Below are 22,516 nucleotides of genomic sequence, written 5' to 3'. Positions count from 1 at the left end.
AATTTCTCGACAACTATCTAGCCTCTTCTTCAACAATTAACCATTCTATAAACATTTATTAAGCATGACTCTGTGTTTGCATTGTACTAGACACTAGGCTACACGGAATTTAAAAAGTCTTTAATCTTGAGGCTTCGTTATCTGGAAGATTGCAGCATTCTTTATTTCTAGTTCCCCATGAGATACATAGTAATTGACTTATTTATCACATGCTGAACATGAGTTTAAAAAGGCAAACTGGTGCTGTATATACTGTGAGCTTAAACATCAATATCAATTCTGATTACCTTTGTGAGTTTGAAATGCAGAAAGGACACCAAAGAAATTCTAGCAAGGAACTAATGACACCTGATAACAAACAACAAATAAATGTTATTGTTTCAATAAAGACATGGCATGAAATAATCAATGTTATACATAAGAGCTTCTAATTATGATTTTACTGCACTGAGTGTCATGAGTTCTATAAAAGCAGAATAATTGAGCAAGCAAAATGAAATATTAGCTGGTTTCAGATGAAAGCAAGTGTGTCAGTCTGAGCTGCCCAGGCAGTCCTGTTTTCTGAGATGTTCTATGGCAGTAGTTTGAAGAACATATCCTAAGCCTTTAGGTGCTGAGTACATTTTGGAAGACATGTACTCACCTCTGAGTGATTAAACTACTGGACATTGTACCACAGCTAAGAGGAAAAATGTGTCCACTGAAACTAAAATTTGAAATTTATAGTTTTAAAGCTAGATTTTACAAGTTTATTGATACTTTGCATGATAGAGCAAAGCAATCAAAGGTACATACACATTTTTAAAGTAAAGTAAGAAAAGGAATAAAAAGACTATAAAACAGTAGCTAAAAAGCTTATGTGGCATTTTGAGCAGCATTTGGATGTGAATTTAATTTTTATGTAATACAACTCAATATGTCTGAAAGTCTCTTTTTGTATTTTTTTTTATTGCCTAAATGTCACAACTAACAACTAGTTTGGAGCCACACCTACCACTGCAGAGGAAATACTGTAAATGGGTGTGAGTTGGTGTGTGTGCAGCCATAAAACTTCAAGGACTAATTTCTCAAGTATAGGTATAATATTGTTCTCAATAGAGTTCAATAAATGCAAATCAATAAATAAAGAACAGATATTCCTCTAGCTAATGTTGTTCAATAGAATATCAATTAAGAACAAGGAAGTGAAAAGCTAAATTCAGCAAGATTTTGTCATCCCCTTGAGTAATATTGAACCAAGATTACTACTCTGAATTTGATCATCTAACAAGTAGTTCTCTTAACTAAGAGACACATGGTCTAAATCAGAAACTCTTAATACACATGCCTTAGGAGACCCATGAGACCATTGAACCTGCTGTGCTATTCCACAGCTGCTGCACAGTCAGTCCTGCCATTCTATTATTGCTGGGACCTAAATTGTCTCTACACTCAAGCAGTTATCACATCCCAAAGTTAAGCATCTGAGAAAGAATTTAGGCATTCTTTTTTGATGTTTGAGCAGATACTCTACCTCCTACCTTTTTGTCACCTTCACAACATAAAAATATGCAAACCAGCTTGTGGACATTTAGCCTAAATTATGATAGGCATTCATAAGGATCATAATAAAAAATGTTCTCTAATAAATTCTGAAAGTGTAAATGTTAAAAGAAGATGCATAAATTAGACACTAGGTTTACAGGTAGAAAAAAACAGAATTAGAAACATCATGTGTTTGCTTGTTTGGAAGGTAGGTCACTCTATCTCTACACAATAAATGGTACAAACAGGTAGGGATTAATTTAAGTAAGTATAGACTTATTAACCTAATTTTTCTTAAAATGTGCTGTAGACTTATAAATGAATGAATTTAGAGGTTAAACTATGAGTTGAGCAGAAAGTGAAAACAGTTTTATGGACCAAAAAATTGAATTTTACATTCAGCAGCAGGGTTGTCACGTAATGGATATCAGACAATATTTGTTGAATGGCCTAGGGAAACTATATTTTATAGAAATGTTGAACAATTATGAGAGTAATACTATGTTTTTTCAATTTAACCCATCACACATTTATTGGGTGCCTGCTGGGTGTAAGTCAATCATCACATATTGTGCATAGTGAAAATCTGAAGTTAGAGAACAAGCAGTGTGTTTTCCAAAGAAAGACCATTCTGATGTTTTCATTTCTCTATGGAAATTATTGTAATCACAACTGCAAGAAAATAAAACAGAGATCAAAAAGAAACATCTGATATTGGGACATAGACAGAAAAAAAGTTACTAAAAAAGTATCTGTATTTTTAAAATATAGGTGTGCTATTCAATTATGTATTGTGTAATAGATTATAATGTAAGATATAATAATTCTATATAACAACATATTTACTATGATATATATGTAATCTTTGAAAGTTATTTTGCAAAATATTTTTGCCATTAAGCGTACAAATTAATGGGATTTCAAGCAAAATTATAGTGGAGCAGTTATTGTTTGAAAAGAAAACACATTTTAAATAAAATAGCATGTTAGAAAAATACAAGTCAACATATAAAAATCTGTATTATTGATTTCTTGCTATAATTTTTACAGAAAATGATCATTTTATATTTCTGCTTACAACTACTATTCTCTGTGAGCCTCCCCGATAATGTTTTTACATGTGAGGTGTGTTAAAACTCTATTAAAGAAGTTAGTCAATTATAGATAATCCATTGGCTAAATGAGTTTTCTATCAACGGACTAAAAGTGGTAGCTGCTTGAAATAGTATTGTAGATTGAATCTATTCATGAAAATGTTCTTCCTATTAACTGGTGCTTACAGAACTTGAAAATTAAGCCTTAATTCAGAAACTATAGTTAGGGTCCAAAAACTCTACTTGAAATATCTTTTATTACCTTTTTTTTTTTTTTTCACAAGGGAGCCAAACTGTTACTTCCTCATAACTGCCATGCAATTTTCAGGGATTACTTTAAGTGTGAATTGTCAACTATTTCTTCCAGCTGCCTCCTGTCAGGCTATAATCCCATACTGAGCCTTGTCAGAGGTCACTGAGCTCTTGACTAATGCACTTCATTAGGGGAGAAAAGCAGAATGTCTCCAGCACACAAATGGCAGGAGACATACAGCAGAACTGGGCACTTAAAACAAATAGCACTAAACTGTAAATCCATGAAATCTTAAAAGTTCCTTTCAGTATAGTTCTAATCACTCAGAACAAAAGTTACTATATCAAGTTTCTATAATTACTTTGGATTTTTTAAATATATGATACATTCTGGAATTAAATTCAAGCTACTAACAATGATAGATAAATGGCTAATAAGGAAAATAGTTATTCCAAAGAACCTGCTCCTTTTTCACAATTGTTCCTTTAAATTAATTTTTGTTTAGAATTTTTACTTTTCTCTGATCATTAGTATAATACATTTATTTTAAATCTTTGAAATTCTTTATATTGAAAATTCATCTACTTTCAATGAAGGTGGAAATTTACAAATATAGAAATTTGGAAAAATGTAAATTTCTAATATTTATCTATATAAACCTTCACTATAGGAGCATTTGGTTGGCTCAATAATTAGATAAAAATTTTCCCATTATTTTGCAGTAGACTATTTAAGAGTAGCTTTTGAAGCAAGCTACTACATACCTATTCTGTTTTTATTCTTGGTCATGATACTGACATTTCTGTTTTTGTGTTTTAGCTTTATAAGAACAATTTTGGAATATTATTCTTTAGTCAGAAAGATATTAATGTTCATTATAAAATATGCTAAAATATATATTATTATTTCCTTTGCCAAATTTAAATAACCTTAACAGAAAGTAGGGATATATATTAGTCTATGATATTATTTTATATGAAATAAACTAAGAGAAGCTTTATTCCTGCCTAAGGATTAATTATTAAAAAAACTTTTAATCACACCTATCAAAAGTACAAAATGAAATTACATAGTTAATAATGGTAAAATGATATAACCAGTGTCTGACTACCATATTCACTACCAAACATGCTATCATTTTGAGAAGACTTTCTTTAATTTAGGAGACAATCTTCTTTATGTAAAAGTGTCATTTAAAAATGAAAAAAATACAAAATATATTAAAATGTGTTGAAAAATCTGAAGAAGGTATATACATAAATGCTAGTGTTTTGCTTGCTCACCTGAAAAGACTAGGTTCTTCATTTTTTTCTTGAAAAAAATAACTGAGTTATATACTCCACATCTGTCTTTAGAAGTTATCTTTATAGGAAACTAGAATGATGCATCTTTTTCCGGCTTTGTTTTTGAGATGGAATAACAAACATGAATTGTTTAGAGCAGCAATGTCACTAATAGGTTTTAATTTTTTTATCTTTGTTTTGTATTCTTCTCATAGAAATGCCACTATTTTTTTCTCCTCCCACTTCTCTCTATATTTTCTAACCCAGATGTCAGGAGCCAATTTAAAAACTCATAAACATAAAACTACACATCATGAACACAACTTACTATGTTACATTCGTAAAAACTGTGGCATAATCTCACCAATATTCATTACATTCTAGTCAAAGTAACCCAGAAGGGTGCAATCATTTCTCAATCACAGTTTAAAAAGTCATTACTCAAATCAGAGCTTAGAGTACAATCTACTGTTTTCTCATAATTACTTGAGGCTCTTTCTGGTTTAGAGAAAGTCATAAACTGATGTCATTGAGTTTTCCTAGAGGCATTTTCTTTTAAAAACCATTTAGATATCTGGTAGGTACTTGCTCACACTGAGAATTGTTTTGTGACATTTTGATATGTTCTCCCAATGTTTTTCTCACCATAATTTGCAGTCACCCTCTGGACCTCCATGACAGTGGAATTGAATAACATTTTTTTCTAAAATCCCAAGGCTTCAAATTAGGGATCAGGAGTAAGCTCTTCTCAACAGAGGGCTCATGGGTCTGGACTTTAATTAAAGTTCTTCTAGTGCTAAGAAATGTTCTCAGTTTTCCTTCTTCACCTATGTCTGGGAATTTACTTAAAATTAAAAATTTCATTCAAGATGAACTTTTAACATTCAACATAATATTTAAAAAATAATATGTTCATATATAAAACAAATAACCTATTGGAAATGCAATGCATTATTAAAATACTAAAAAATTATTGTTGCAATGTATCCATATAGTGATAGTAGACTGTAGACTTTCCAGTGCATGTCAGGTGCAGCCCAAGAAATTTCTGAATTTGTAGCAAGATGGGTCCCAATTTTCCTTGAGATTAATTTTCATTGAAATAAAGCAGACAGTTTCTTAGTTATCCTACATATAAGAGAACCATTTTATATTATTAAATTCAAGTAGTTTATAGTCTTAAAAGTATGTTCTATCCTTTTAGTAGACTAACATACTTCTATGATATAATGAAATAAAGGACCAAGGAAACATGTACTGTGAAGAATGAGGAAATTTGATATGTTTCACCATTAGCAAGGATCACTTGAAGGCTAGTAAGGCAGGAATCAAAGCTTTCTCTAAGATTTGAATGGCTACTATGCAGAAAAGGTGATTTTTTTTTTGTCTTGCACCAACATGTAAAACTACTACTAATGGGTAGAAGCCTGGCAAATATACATTTGATTCAATTCTAGAAAATCTGAATTATCTAACATGGATAAGGGGATCTCAAAAAGTAGTGAAGTTGTCTCTGTGATGGTTCAAGGAAACTTTGGGTCACACTTAGTCAAGAATTCACAGAGCGATGTCTGTAATGGGAGAGGGCTTGAATCATATAGGACCTTTTGAAACCTAAAATTCTTTGCTTTTTGTTTAGATAAACAATGCAATTATATACACAAAGTAGCAATTGTGATGAACAAAAAAAATCTCTGTGGACTTGTTCTGTGCCTATCACCGCTGGAAGTTTGAATTTATCAAAGGCAGTGACTTATACATTTTTGCAATTAAATTTCAAGTACATAACAAGAATAAAGAAAAACATTTTATAAGGGGTGTTTTAAAAATAAGCTTGAAAAAAAGCAGGTACATTTTGACCTTTAAAAATGTTACTTGCTTGTTCACTTCTCTTCTCTTTGTTTTTCCAGGCCATGGTAGGAAAAACACAAAATGAGCCGAAAACATTTTCATCTAGCAGAAAGCAGGAGGTGCTCATGAATGATGAGAACATGTCAAACAGATACAGAAGTCTATTTGAAAGGGGCTCCCAGTGTCAAATCTATAACAATTTGGGCATAAAAAATAATGAATAAAATATTATAACCAATTGGAAATAATAAAAAAAAGCCCTGAGACCAAATTGGTATAATGAGATAAATTAATTGAAAGTTTGTTGAGGAATGGGGTATTGACATATGATATAATTTGGCTCTGTGTCCCCACCCAAATATCATCCTGAATTGTAATCTCCATGTTTTGAGGGAGAGACCTGGTGGGAGGTGATCTGATTATGGGGGCAGTTTCTCCCATGCTGCTCTCTTTATAGTGAATCAGTTCTCATGATATCTGATGGTTTTAAAATGTGGCACTTCTCTTTTGCTCTCTCTCTCCTGAGGCCATGTAAGATGTGCCTTGCTTCCCTTTCACCTTCCACCATGATTATAAGATTCTTGAGGCCTCCCCAGCCATGCAGAATGGTGAGTGAATTAAACCTTTTTTGTTTATAAGTTACCCAGTCCCAGGTAGTATCTTTATAGCAGTGTGAGAATGGACTAATATACGTAATAAGCACAAAATACTTACTATTGCTGTAAGTATTTACTATTAACATATATATTAATTAACTTTCCAGTGGAGAAGCCTACCTTAATCAACTAATAAAAATCATTAGCATGAGACTGAAATTGCCTGTCACCTAGTAGAATGCAATGAGAAGAATGTAGTGGCATTTCAGTGAAGTACAACCTGAATCTAATAATGGGAAATATTAGACAAACCAATTTTGAGAGATATTCAACACAGAAAATGGCTTGAAATCTTCAAGTCTCATCATCATGAAAGTCAAAGAGCAACTGAGGAATTGTTCCATGTTTAAAAAGACTAAAGTGATATGAAAAGTAAATGCAGCACATGATTCTGAACTGGATTTTTTGTCTGTTTTGGACATTGTTGAGACAACTGGTGAAATCTGAATGACTGAGAATGAAATGGTAATAATGTGCCTATGCTAATTTCCTGATTGCTATGCTAATATTTTGGTTATGTAGGAGAATGTAAGAAATGCACATTGAAGTGTTTGTAAGTTCAGGAAAAAGTATTCTGTGTGCTGTGTGCCTTTAACTTTCCAGTAGGTTTACGATTGTCCAAAAATCATATATACTGTTACATATAATATATATTCATATATATGAAGTATCTATTTACATATTATTACAATTTATCTTCTTTTGGCTCAATATATCAAAGGGATGCTAACAATCAAGGTTGTAATAATGATAGCACAGGTTTTTTTATAATTGGTGATCCTTCCTTTTTTTTTTACCTTTTTCAGTGAAAGATCAATTATTATCTTTCATAAATATTACAAAAGTAACTTTTGCATTGGAAAGCAACTTTTGGAAACAGCAGGGAACACTTGGGCCATAGGGTATCCCTGTGGTATAATAGAAGCACTGCAACTAACTAGGTTGTTACTGTAAGCATATTCATTAGTGTCTGTGAAGACATTGTTAAATCTTTTAAATGGGATTACTAATACTAGTCTTGGTAGACTCTTGCAGGTATTAAATAAGTTTAAAAGAAAACTATCAAAGAGCCCTAGTGCAATGTCTAGCACATAATATCTACCTATTCATTCTACATTCACCAAATATTTATTGAGTAGTGTTTGGGTTCCAGGCTGGTATTATGCACTGGGACTACAAAAAAAAATAAGGATTTCATAGTATAGTGGGTAAAACACACAAACAAATTATAACATATGGAGATAGTGAAATGAGAGAGTCATGCAACATAGAAGAATAAAACACTAAACAAATGCTATTATAGTGCATACGGGAAGAAAGGTTAGAACACGTGAAATCAGTGCTCAACTCTAATTCCAATACTACTCAACATTTTAATTTATTATATGAGACTACTATAGAAAAATATGCTTTAGAGAAGAAGATAAGTGAGAAGTGAGTTTGTGTCAGATAATATTGAGTCTTCATTTAATAATATAATTTATGATACATAATATCTAAACAAGACTCTTTCATTCTATTGTGTTTAAAGGAAAACTAGCACATCTGATAGTTATGGAAGAATTGCTATGTATCAGATAATGCCTTAAGAATTTTACATATATAACTTATTAAATCATCACAATGGACCACTGACTTAGCTCTTATCACAGTACACCTTGCAGACTCTTAACTTTTGTGGGTACTCATATCCACTTGCTAATCTCATCTAATATTAAGGCTTTAAATACAGTACTAAATTTTTGCTTAACTGATTTAATTACTCATATGGCTGATTTGGACTTTTTGCTCTGATCTTAAGATTCATATATCTCAGTGTCTTGGATTCATATATCTCACTGTCTCACAGGCTTTCCAAACACCAAAAACTGAGATAGCTTCTATGCTCCATAGCCTTCTGTCACTTAATGGTGATTCTATCTTCCTATTTAATCAGGCCCCAAATCTTTGAGTTATCCTTGACTGTGTTCTCTCATTCTCTACAAGCTATTCATCTGCAAACCCTATTAGCTCTATTTTCAAACATATATCCTCAAATCTAACCTCTTATTATTATCACCATTACTACCTTCTAGTCAAAGCCCCATTTTAAACTCTTGGTTGAATTTTTGCAGTAGGCTTCTAACTGGTCTCCTGCTTCTCTGCCTTCTTGCCACTTCATTCTACTGTTAGCACACAAGCCACTCCTCTGTCAAAACATTTTCATAGCTTTCCAAATCACTCAGAATAAAACCGAAGTCCTGGAAATGGCCTAAAGTGCCTATAAATGCTCCATCTTCCTCTTCTTTTAGGTTGCTCAGTTTTCCAACTGCTATTCCTTTCTTAGCAACCTCTCTACCCAATGCCTGCAGAATGTTCTCCCTCTCTCCCTTAAGGTCATTTTTCACATTCCGTCATTTCAATAAGGACTTCCCTGGTACCCCTGTTAAAATTCAAACCTATTTACTTTGCAGTCTTTATCCATCTTCCTTGTTTCTCTTCCGTTTTTTCTCAGAATATTTCATCATATAACACTCTACATACTTTTGTTGTTGTTGTCTATTGTTTGCCTTCTTCCATTGGAATGTAAGCTCCATGACTGAAAGAAACTTTGTTTGTGTTGTTTACTGCTCTTTCTTGGACTGAAAAATATTAGGCACTGAATAAATACTTCTTGAATGCTTGAATAACCTGAACAAATTTGCATCCCACAGCAAGGGACAATACCAGAAATAAAACTCAGGTAGTCTGGTTCAAGAGTCTGTGCTCTCACGCTCTCATTCTTTATAATATATTATTGAGATGACCTTTAGCTCATCCCCATCTAAACCCTGAATACCCGTTTATTTCCAACACACTCAGTAAACTGAACCACCTCCCAGAATATCTTTGATATTGCAACTCTGGCACCTCACAGGTAAATTGTGCTAATGAATGAAGAATATTATTGTCACAGAAGGATCAGTTTAAAAGAGGACATATTCCTGGAGGAGTTTAGGATATGTCAAATAGAGTGACACCATGTGAAGTGATGGCAAAACATACGGTTCTAGAGTCAGTGCATATGTACATATGCTGCTTAAGTACAGCCAGTGAATCCAGCATTTTTACAGATTATCTGTTACGTACGTACACAATCCTCTCTTCACTCCCCACACTAAATTGGCACTGATATTTCATAATATTCTACACCCTAAACAGAGACACACCTGCATAGGTTAGTATGAAAGCCAAGTTGACAGCATGTTTTATGCACTGGCTTATTTCTTGGCCAGAGATTTGTTTGCTGTCATAGAGACCTGGCTTTAGAGCTGTTTTTAATGTAACATAATAGAACACATACAGAGAGTACTCAGTCAACTTAAAAAAGTGTATATTGAACACCTCCTCTGTCCAAGGTGCAATAAGGCTAGAAAGAAGGATAAGAAGCAGCTGTTTCCAGAAGGAGTTTACAGTTTGGATAGGGAGGGAAAATTAATGCATACATAAAATTATCAAAGAACTGAGAACCAAAATGTAATCCTGACTGGAGACAATTAAGATAAAAGATGAAAGCCTGAACCAATGTAGTTAAGGAAGGCTCTGTGAAGGGATGAACACGAACATTTATTAAGTACCTGCTATGTGCCAGGTGCTTTGCATATATTGCCTCACTTAATCATCACAGTAACCACATGGGGTCTGAATTATTATGTTATTTTTATAGGTAAGGAAATTGTGTTGAGGTCCGTCCAATAAGCATTTATTGCAATCTTATTGCAATCATTTTGTATCTCCAGCCAGGAACACAATGCCAAGTTTGGAGGAGCCAAGCTTGGCATTGTGTTCCTGGCTGGAGATACAAAATGATTGCTTTCAGTCCTTTATGAAATTTAAATTTTAGTTGGGAAGGTTGGAAACAAGATAGGTGAACATAATTCAAATTTGATGTTGAACCACATTGACAAGATTAAGCTTACTTTCCATGGAAATGACAAGAAGCTTCCATCCAAAAATGTGGGTGCCAAGGAAGTTTCTGGAGGACATAGCGTCTATGCTATATCATTAAGGATGGCAAAGATGAAACTCCCCTCCAGACAGAGCAGACTGTAAAAGCAAAGTCACAGAGGTCTGATCCTGTATGGCATGTGTATTAGTTAAAGTCATGCTAACAGTTATTTTTTAAAAACCCTAAACTATATATTGGTTCAAACCTGATAGAAGTGAATTTTTCCGTTTGCAATGTCAAAATGAGTGCTCTTGATTTCAAGGAGTCTCTTCTTAGAGTGTTGATTCAGGAACCCAGGGTCCTTCATTCTTGTATCTCCTCCATCATCAATATGTGATTTCCAAGGTCTTCAAGCTTTTCTGCACCAGGTTGACAGAAGAAGAGTGTGGCTAATCACCTATGAGAAGCTTCCATGCACCAATTCTAGAAGTAGTTGTCTTCAATTCCATTTCCCTAAAAAACAGTAACACAGTCATATCAATCTGCAAGGGAGGCTAGGAAATGTATTCTATCTTTTGGCTCAGAAAGGGAGGAGGTTGTTTTCATGAATAAATAGTGATATTTGCTTTTGTGTATAAATTATGTTATTGCAGTGCAAATAAGGAGAGATTAGAGAGAAAGGTACAATCCCACCATAGAGAACCTTTTTATTTCATGATAAAGAGCTTCAGTTCAAATCAAGAAACATTTCTTGAGCAAAGACAGGTATTGTCATGTGCTAAGGGCAAAACATAAATCCCAAGCTTTGTCTTCAAGTGATTATATTTTAGTAGCACACATTGAAAATAGATTGATTTTAAAAGTTTAATTTTTAGCTTGTAGGTAATAGACATGGCAGGAGAGAGGGGCATAAAAGTGAGGGGATAGAATGATCTGATTTGCTTTCATATATATTATTCAGATGATGGCAAATGAGATAAATTTGGAAGTGAAAGACTATAGGCCAGTAAGCGAACATTTCTGACTTAAAATAGGGCAGTATTAGTGGGATGGAAATTTAAAATTTAAAGTTGGAAGCCATAATGTTCTATATGTAGAGAAAAAAGAGGAAAAGTCAAAGATGACTCCTAGATTTCTCATTTGGGTGAATGAGGTGATGGCTTTCCCATCAACTGAGACATGGAATACAAAGGGAGAACTGGGTCTATGAGACAGGATAGTATGGTGAATTCAGTTTTTGAGAAGTTGAATTTGAAATGACAGGAAAACATCTAGCTGTAGATGTTCATCAGACTCCTGGGAAGTACGGTAGGCTGAAATATGGCCTCCTAAATATGTCCACAACCTAGTCCTTGGAACCTTATATAGTAAAAGGGACTTTGCAGATGTGATTGAGGATATTGAGATGGGAAGCCTATCTTGTATTATCCAGTTGGCCTCAATGTAATTGCAAAGATCCTTACAAGAAGGTTGCAGGAGGATCAGAATGGAACCAATGACCTGAAAAGAGAGAAAATTCTATGCTGCTGCCTTTGAAGAAGGAGGAAGGGACCATGAGTTAAGGAATGTAGGCTTGGGAGGTAAAAATGGGGAAAGGCCAGGAAATTAATTTTCCCTTCTAACCTACAGAAGGAAGCAGCCTTGCCAGTACCTTGACTATAGCCTCATGAAACTGATTTTGGAATTCTTACCTGAAGAACTGTAAGATAATAAATTTGTGTTATTTAAGCTATTACATTTGTAGCTGATACAACAGCAATAGGAAACTAATAAAGGTGCAAATATTTCCAGGAATGAACATGTAGATGATGGTTGAAATCATAAAACTTAGATACAGTAACCCAAAAATTATAAGGCAAATATAAGATATAATATCCTGGGAATCACAAAAATTTAAAGGATAACCAGAGAAACAATGCTTAGAATAGGAATAAAAAATAGATGATCAGAGCAGTGTCAGTAGAACCAGGAGAATATGGCATCATAGAACCCAAAGTTATAAACAAAAGCAGAAAAAAAGTGATCAGCAAGTTCAAATACAGGACAATGGTCTTTATAATTTAATGGATGTAAACTTCTTGGATGGGACAGTGAAAGATGTGAGGCTGGAGGAGATATTGGAGGAGAAAGAGAACATATCACCTTTGAGTATAAGTATTTGAGTATAAGTATTTGAAGCACCTATGAAGTTATGAGGCCAATCTGAGGTGAAGCTTTGATAACAAGTTCAGACTGCTATTTTTTTGTACTACATCATCTCCATGGAATTTTGTTTCCAATTGATATCCCAGATTTGTCTTTGTAGTACAACTTGTTCCATTGATGTATCAGCTGATTTTTATTAAAATAAACGCAATGTGATGCCCCTCATTGAAGTGTTTTTGTTTTAAGTTTTTGTGAAAGTGAGATTTTGTTCTACCTAAAGGATGATAAATATAAAGAAGATGGGATCTCTGTGAGAGAGGGTGGCAGGCCATTAACAGCGGAATCATGATGGTATTACAGTTCTCTTCATCTATCAATGGCTCCTATTCATTGCATTGACTTTGCATCATTTTCTTCATATACACAACTCCTTATACTAGCTGTCATAATTCTCAATTTACACATGCATAAACAGAGACTTGGGAGTTTAACCAACTCACTCAAGGCTATAGTTAATAAGTAGCAAAACCAGGCATTCAATTCATATGCATTTCAATACAAATTCTAATTCATCTCATTATTCCATTTCATGTTGGCCTATAGAATGAAACAAGTAGAAAGGAAATTCTATTTCATAGATAGTAAACTACCACTTTCCCCAAAAAGTCACTTTTTTTCATTAAAGTAAGGTCTTCTATAATGTTTTCTGCAATAAAAAGTCATATCATAGTATTTTTATATTGGTTAGTTTTATTTCATTGGTTAACTGCAATAAACTGTTCAACTGATGTCTGTGTGATAAAGATGCAACATAATTTACCCTTTTACTACCTCAATGATTTTATGCTTAGTAACTGACCTGAATGTATAGAAAAGTGTTTTATACATTATGTATTATTAAAAAATATATAGGCTGGTATATACTTTAAAATAATCTCAATATGTTAGTAACATATCATCTTATTGAATCATACATTTTATAAATGCTATAACTATATACAATGTGCAAAATATAATACAAATTTTGACTTCAATATTTCTTAAGTAGTTCATATATTTTTCTAAATGAAGTATTTTTTCTATAAATGTAAACTGTTCAATTTTTTATGTTTTCCTCATTTCAGAGATTTTCCTGCAATTTCACTTCAAGTATTGATGCAAGTACAGCTGTGGTTTTTAAGGAGGTGTATACATGACTTATTGTACAAAATTTATCCATCATATGCTATTCACATATTTCAAGAATTAAAATACAGAAGAATGACAGTGGCAAAATGTATTTGACACTCGATAGGACTCCAGGAATGCAACATGCATAAGGAAAAGTTGTAGTCAACCTACCTAAACATCAACATGAGGAATTCCTCTGTATAACCTTCTGTTCAGACAAGCACATCGATGTTTAAGATTTGAGTTCTCAGCTAGGTTTAATATTGAATATACACACTATATTGAAAAGACATTACTAAAACAACTGAAATATAAAAACAGTATAATTTACTTCTCTTTTCATAAATCACTTTTTCTAATGAGTTTGACATTCCTACATTGATCCTCTGGCACAAAAGGACCTTCAGAAAGCACAGAACATTTTATGTTCCTTCTTTAAAAACTTAGTTGATTATCTTTACCCTCAGAATAACATTAATTTTGTTTGTTTGTTTGTTTGTTTGTTTTAGATGGAGTTTTGCTCTTGTTTCCCAGGCTGGAGTGCAATGGCATGATCGCGGCTCACCGCAACCTCCACCTCCCTGGTTCAAGCGATTCTCCTGCCTCAGTCTCCCGAGTAGCTGGGATTACAGGCATGCACCACTACACCTGGCTAATTTTGTATTTTTAGTACAGACGAGGTTTCTCCATGTTGGTCAGGCTGGTCTCGAACTCTGGACCTCAGGTGATCCGCCCGCCTCAGCCTCCCAAAGTGCTGGGACTACAGGCATGAGCCACCGTGCCTGGTCTAAAACTCCTTTCCTACAGCATGCCCAATTCCCTCATGATGGGGCGTAACGCTTTTCCCAAACTTATCTTTCTCTATCATGGAACCACCATCATATTTATTGCACCCCAAACATTGCATATACAATAAAAAATATGTACATATTGTATAAACAAAACATAGAGTCTGCCAATAAAAAGTTAATTAAAATATATCAGAAATGCTAATTATACCCTCAATGCTTACCATGCATCAAATCCTAGCTTAAATGCAATACCTATGAAGTCATTCTATTTAGATCAGGCCTATCTCTTCACTCCCTCCTCTGTACTGCAATCACACTCCCATCAGACCTCTAATGTAATACATTATGCATTCCTTTGAAAGTTTTGGCTACATGCCTTACTCTCTCACTGGACTCTGAGTTCTACCAAGTAGAGACCATGTCTAATTTTTCCTTGGGTCCCTAGAACTCAACATAGAATTAATTCTTAATTTCATATCTGAAAAGATTGTCTTGTTGGAATGAAAACATTTCAGATTTTATAAAAATTGTATGGAATTTATGATATATAATATACAAGATGACAACAGTTTTCTGGGTCTTAAATATAAAATCACCATAGTAATATTTCTGCAGTGAAATATAATATACTAATCATTAGCGCTATTTACCAAATATTTATATTTCTCTTCCCTACTAGACACCCAGTAGGATTATACTTCTTGTGTTGGGGAGGAGCCATGTAACTAGTTCTGGTTGTCAGTGGAATCATGGTGTCATTTCTAAGTTCAAGTATCAATTATTAATGAAAAATCATCCAGAGCTTTCTCTACTCCTCTGACATGACAGCCAGCAGCATTTGTGACGGGCAGTCTATCAACCTAGCTTCTTAGGTGACTATGTCAAACCATAGTGGACACGTTGTTCTAAGCCCCTAGATTTGAGGGTTGTTTGTTACTACAGCATAACCTAGCTCATTCTGACATACACATGTAAGCATTTATACTGAGTTAACAAAAAAGACTATAATTATCATGTTATTTCGGAGCATGTTTTATAATCAAATTGTTTTTTATCATATTGAGTTTTTCTATCAAGTAGATTACAAAAAAAAACTCATTGTCTAAGTTTTTGGTTTTGGGAATTATGAAAAAGATGCTTTGAGTCAATACCCGTCAAACTTATAGCATACAATGTAGCAGGAAACAGCAGGTATTAAATTTTTTTAAAGGTAGAGTGGAATGTCCTTGATCATAAGAACATTAATGTTTTGATATTTATTTGCTTTTATTATTAAAATGTAATATGTAAATTATAAGAAATTAAATACTGTAGATCTACTATATTAATCTCTAGTTTGGTTTTTATGCTGATCGACGTGTAAAATGCAAAGACAAAACAGATTTATATAAGATACAGAAATGTAAGTTATATGAGGAAAATTTCTTACAGCCCTATTTTGAATTCTGTACTTACAAGTAAGATAAGAATATAAATCCTTGTTCTGTCTAAATAATTCTATTAGCTAAATTTATTGACTACCTATTCTGTGTAGGTACTATTTTAAACACTTTATATGTATTAACGTAGTAGGAAAGCATAAAAATTTACTCTGTGGAGTATTATTAAGCTAGTTTTATAATATTGGGTAAGGGAATGGAAGCAAAGAGGAGAGTAACATCTAACATCATAGAAATAGTAAGTGGGTCATATCCAGGTATGCTGACCCCAGAACCTGTGCCCTTAATAACTATATTATGGGAACTATGCAGAAACTCTAGACTTAAGGAAACAAAAAATACCTAGTAACATTACTTTCATTCTGTTTATCATGGAGCTTATTTTTCTTTCTTTCTTTCTTTCTTTTTTTTTTTTTTTTTTTTTGAGACGGAGTCTTGCTCTGTCACCCAGGCTGGAGTGCAGTGGCGCGATCTCGGCTCACTGCAACCTCCGCCTCACGGGTTCATGCCATTCTCCTGCCTCAGCCTCCCGAGCAACTGGGACTACAGGCGCCCACCACCACGCCCAGCTAATTTTTTGTATTTTTAGTACAGACGGGGTTTCACTGTGTTAGCCAGGTTGGTCTCGATCTCCTGACCTCGTGATCCACCCGCCTCGGCCTCCCAAAGTCCTGGGATTACAGGCGTGAGCCACCGTGCCCGGCCGGAGCTTATTTTTCAAAGCTTTGGCCACTTTTCATTTCCCCACTGAAATTCTTCTCAAGTTCTTTGATCCTGAGTTGTTTATTCCAAAATTTAAAAAAGGATCCAATTCTATTTAAAAATGTCATTTCTATGCTGCTGATCCATATGTTGACTGCCAGTCATTAAATATATTTTCAATAGCATCACAGATGACAATTTTTTACTTCAAAATGTCTCTCTGGAAATATCCATTACCACTGAATGCATAACAATACAAGTAACACCAGCTATCACTTATTGAACATATAATATCTGCCACAGATAATATAAGACATTTTGCATTTACTACATCACTTACTCTGTATAACAGCATAACAACTTTTCAAGTTTTGCATTCATTTATTTTATAGACGAGGAGACTGAGCCTTAACATAGGTTAGGTAACTTAGAGATAGAACTGGGATTCCAAATAGGATCAGCCTAGCTTCAAATTCTGTGCTCTTTAATCTGTGGGAAATCTGGTATTTGGATGGTCATCTCACAAGTAAATGAACTAAAAATAATTTCACACAAAGGCTTTGGGGGGTTTGTCTCCGTTTTTTAATCTCAAGAAAAGTGCTACAATAATTGATGCATAAAGTACATTAAAAATATGTTCATTAAAATACAGTATGCATTTCAAAAATAAATGAGTATGTGGATTAATTTCATGAATATTCTTCTCTCAGAATGCTCTAAGTCAAGTCAGTTTATATGATATGGTGGTAACTTTTCACATTAACCTAGAAATTGCCGTTTGGTTTCTTTAGAAATTTATGCAATTTGAATTGACAAAAAGGATCAAGGGGTAGAATTATTTCCTTAGCTACAAACCAGGTACTTTCAATTCAGAATGCAGCCCGTATCAGTATTCCTTGTACAAGGAAACATGATCTCCTTAGCTCTTTTGGGGAAGAGTATATTTTAACATGTGTTGTCTGTGGCTGATCAGCATCAACAAACCCCAGTGCATGTGGCACTTTAATGAGCTTTGAGGATCTTGAGTTAAAAAGATGCATTTCACTCTTTAATTGTGCATAATTCAGATACAAAGATAATTTGGTAGGGAACATGATAATGCTTATACCAAGAAATCTGGTAAATCTATTTATAATAAATTGTGGTGGTTTTTTATTACCAGATGCTGCCTAGTTTTCCTTAGAAATAACTCCTCCTAAAGCAACGAGTTTCAGAGAAACTCATGTCTAAGATTGAACACCAGAAGCTACATAAATCCCCTGAAATTGCAATAAAATATCTTTCCAAAGAAACCAAACCCAGATTCCATACCATAATTCAGGCAGCACGGCCCATCATAAACAAAAATTCATTATGCCTGCCGTGTGGAAAAATGTTAAGCAAGAAGAAATAAACAGAGAATGTTTTAACAAATCATATTAGCCAAATGAAAAAAAGAGGATAAAGCCACAGTTCTGAATGAGACTGCCAATAAAGCTTAAAACTGAGCCAAAATTTGGAAGAAATCTAAACATAGCCAGACCAAGTCTAAGTCTTCCTAAGATATTTTATTCTGCCTTTTTCCTTTCAACTATTTCCTTTAGATTTAAGGGGAAACCTTGACCAGATCTAGAGATGTGATATTAAATGCACACGGATTATATCCAAACCTAAATTGAGGAAACAATTGAGTGAAACTCAGAGACGTGAAGCAGAGAATCATTCCTCTGCAAGTATTATAAAATTCATCAGGAAAGGATGAAAATGTTTTTAGTTCTAGAATGTTGACTTAAAAAAAATCTAAGAATAGTCATTTATAATCCAATCCTTCATTAATATATAAACCTATGAGTAGACTCAGTATACATTTCCTCAAGAGTTTAGCAGCATATTGAAGTTTGTTGTCAACATATAATAAAATGTCTTTCTGTATAGCCAGGTACAATCTAAATACCTTCTTATTTGATGTAACACAGACAACAACTAGCTGCCTGAAAAAACCCAAGGAAAAATTAGAATCTCCATCATGAAATAAAATCTGTCACTTGCAGAATGAAGCAGCCTTAGTGCCTTTCCACCTTGGTACTTTAGACAGACACTCTCTGCCTAATGAAATCGGGCAGATATAAAACGGTATCACTCTGTATTATTGAGAAGGTTCTTTTCACGTGCTGGCCAGTGCTGGTCGGTGTTACCTAACTGTGATCTTTGGAGGAAGAGGAGAGATAAAGATGAAAGTAAGCAGAGAGAAAAAGAGAGAAAGGATACATCTTACAGAACACAGTGGAATAAAACTGCTTCACCTATGCTGGGGGTGAGGGGGGCGGGGATTGCGAAGTTAAGCATATATTTCTTTCTTGGGGAATGTCTCTTATATGTGCTAAGGGACAAACCAGTATACAGAGTTAGGCTAAACACACCTTTGTGGAATTATACTGAGATCTTAGCTACCATTATTAACATTGTGAACTCTTGGAGAAACAAGGTCTATTAAGTTCCAAACAACTAAATTACAAACATATTTTTAGAACAAAAATGCCTTTACAGGTTGTAGAGTGTTTATGTAGTGGAAAGCCTTGAACTAAATACCCACACCATTAATATACCAAACACAAGAATTGAAACAGATTACACTATATTCATAAGTGAGACCTGTAAAAGGAGGAAAGTAGACAAATCAGCTGGATATAATAATTGATTAGATGATCATATATTAATTAGCACTGTCATGTTCTTCAAGTTGGACTTTCTTTTAATCTTCCAAATACTAAATTCTCTACTCATGGATAAATTTCTGAACTAAGTGTGTACTTTGAAATAATCTGAGTCCTCCTATACTTCATACCTACATATAATCAAGTGATCTTAAAGAAAGGAAAAAATGACAGAGGAAATGAAACAGAAATGTATAGCACATCATGCACTGCAGACTTGCCTTATCCTTCAGTGTCCTAAGGCAATTGTCTCTCCTATCGTCCCTTCACCTTTTCACTTTTTCCTTCTATATTATGTACCTCACTCATTTTATCTAAAACATTGTTATCCAATCCCCCTCCTTGAAAGAAGAAGAAAGGGGATGCAGGAAGAGAGAAAGAGAGAATATAGAGGGGAAAAATTCAATGGAAACCACAAGGTAGTAAGAGAAGTCACTTCTGAGAAGCAGAGTGATTAAGCATTAGAATGCTACACGTACAGCATTCATGCAAATAAAAACTGCATATGTCTATGTGTTCATCATGGCCTTAATGCTAAATTTGAACAGTGTGCATTATCTGATTAATTTTTAAAGAAGATAATTTTTTAAATTCCTAATCCCCATTTTTAATGAATGCAGTTTCATTCTTTTCTTCGGTGTCCTTTTCACACCAGTAATACTAAAAAGTTGAAATAAAAATTTAATATTTTCTCTTCTGCCCCTGTAAGTGTGTCTATTTATATATGTAAATGGCGCAGAAGAAACAATGAGTGTACAGTCAACAATTAGACTGAGAAAATTAGACTCAGAAAAGCTGATATATGGTTAGTTCATAAATATTACAGGACACAGTCTGTGGACAATTTCTTATAATTAAATCCATCTTTATTTTGACAAACAAGCTTGAAGACTATCAAATTCAATTTAAAAAACTGTTAATTAACCCAATTTATTGGCCAATTATTATCAAAGAGTTACTTATTTGCCTGAAGTTTTTAGAAATGGTTTTTGTTTTTTAAAAAAATGGCTAAAAAGTTATTCACCAATATGAACCTAAGACTAAGATTGCCTTCTCTGGCCTTAAAAAAATCCCAGAAAACAAATATAAGATGATTTACTTTTATGCTATCTACTATTTCGCATTTTAAAAGCTATCAGAATAAAAATTATGGCAATGAATATGTTTCAGGCTAATGGCTAAATATTTCAGTTTAAATAGACATTCTTTCTTCTATGTGCTTTACAACAAAACCTTTCCACATGCTATACTCAATGTTGACAGTTTCTAGTTAATTTATTGAAACTGAAATGTACATATTTATATGGTCAATAAATCAACTGACCATAGCACAGAAACAAATATTTTGCTGTTTGATTATATATATTTAGGAATCACAACTTTTTAAAATCTAGCCAGATGACACTAAAGTTTTAGGTGATGTTCTTTATAAGCAAGTATAGCTTAGAGCTACTAACAAAAGAAAAAAGCTTAATAAGAATTAAAAATTAAAAGGAGACATGAAGATCACCCCTTGAACAAGCCAGTTTTCTTAAAAATCTGAATTATTTTGAACTTTCAGATATCTTGTTTGGGAAAAATGTTTGTTTCTTTATGCTTTTCAAATCAGGTTTAAGGTTATTGTTTTCACATATAAAACCAGGTTACTAAAAAACATAATTACACTAAATAAATGTTTTATGCAAGAAAATTTAAAAAAATTAGGCAGTTTAAGTTATGGAAGCAAATTGACCAATCTGTTCTAAGAATAAAAACTTAGGTTGGTCAAATAATCAAATACTCATCCCAATTTGATACCTCATTCTCTGTTTTAGACAGCCATGAATAATAACTTTTATAATGCACTAGCAATGAAAAAAGTTCCTCATATTTACATTTTGGTTAGTACACCCACATTTGTAACTCTAAAATTCAAACCTTGTATTATCTATGTAATTTGTATCATTATTACTAGCATTCTAATTTTAAATAGGTGTTATTTTTGGTAACATTTTAAAAATGATAATTTGTAAAATTAGAACATATATAAGTAAAAATATTTTTTAATCAACAGATGATATGAATACATAGAGAATGAGTTATAAAGATATAGATGCGGTTACTCATATATTCCAGTGTTCATGGATCCACTGCCAGAGGCACAAACACAAACATGCTACTCTAGAAATGAATTTACTCACATACATATTTCTCTCCCCTTATTCTCTTCTTTTTTCTTGTTCTCTTCTTTCCTCTGCCTGTAAATGTGTAGATGTGATATTGAGAGACAGATGCATAAATACATTATTTTGTAGATGGTTTTTATTTGTCAGAAAGGTATAGTACTTAGATGAATTTAGTAAATTTTAGAAGCTGTAAAGTGGAAACCTATAAACAGATAAGGGGGATTCGAATCATTTTTATATCTACTTCTGTAGGTATACTGTGTATACATTCATACACATAGACATCCCCAGAGCACATGTTACCAATTAAAAGTTACATAAACTTAAATCTAAGTAAAAGCTTCAAAGCATACTTGCCTATGGAAAACATATATTGCCTTTAATTTAATGTTTAAAAAAACCTTTCCATAAATTAGCACAAGAATTCTTCCATTTTTTCCCTATGAATCTATAAAGTTAGGGAGGAGAATAGACAAAGATGAACTATTTCCCAATTTTTGTTAAGTATAATATTGATATAGTAGAAGAACTAACAGTGTAGTAGTGATTTTCCTTTGAAATCAGGTTTCATATTTTTTGCCATCATGAGATTTATAATCTCTTTGCTTAGAATTAACTCAAAATTTTACTTTTAAAAATTACAGTGCAATCATTCACTGATTTATAGAATATGTACCTGGACACCCATTAAATAAAAGAAAATTTAGAAAATACTGAAGATACAAAAAATTACTCTTTGAAGAACGTATAATCTAGAAGAGGGAACATTTGCATGTTCAGCTAAGTAAAATGCATGAAGTAATGGGGGTATGATCAAAGTGTAGGGGAAGCATTCAAGAGAGT

At 33.3% G+C, this 22,516-nt stretch overlaps 1 long non-coding RNA gene across 2 annotated transcripts in view; it reads right to left on the bottom strand.

Moving 5' to 3' along the window:
* Positions 1-22,516, bottom strand: part of LINC02820 (long intergenic non-protein coding RNA 2820) — a 172,109-nt gene that overhangs the window by 136,575 nt on the left and 13,018 nt on the right. Inside the window, exons 2-3 of one of the 2 annotated variants that reach the window (NR_183553.1) lie at positions 10,834-11,081; positions 288-348 (exon numbers count right to left, since the gene is read on the bottom strand). This is a non-coding gene — a long non-coding RNA (long intergenic non-protein coding RNA 2820). The remainder of the gene's footprint in view (positions 1-287; positions 349-10,833; positions 11,082-22,516) is intronic. The other variant, NR_183554.1, reaches the window with a different exon arrangement.

This window comes from Homo sapiens, chromosome 12 (assembly GCF_000001405.40).
Source record: "Homo sapiens chromosome 12, GRCh38.p14 Primary Assembly".
Lineage (NCBI taxonomy): Eukaryota > Metazoa > Chordata > Mammalia > Primates > Hominidae > Homo > Homo sapiens.
This window is presented reverse-complemented; position numbering and strand designations above follow the sequence as displayed.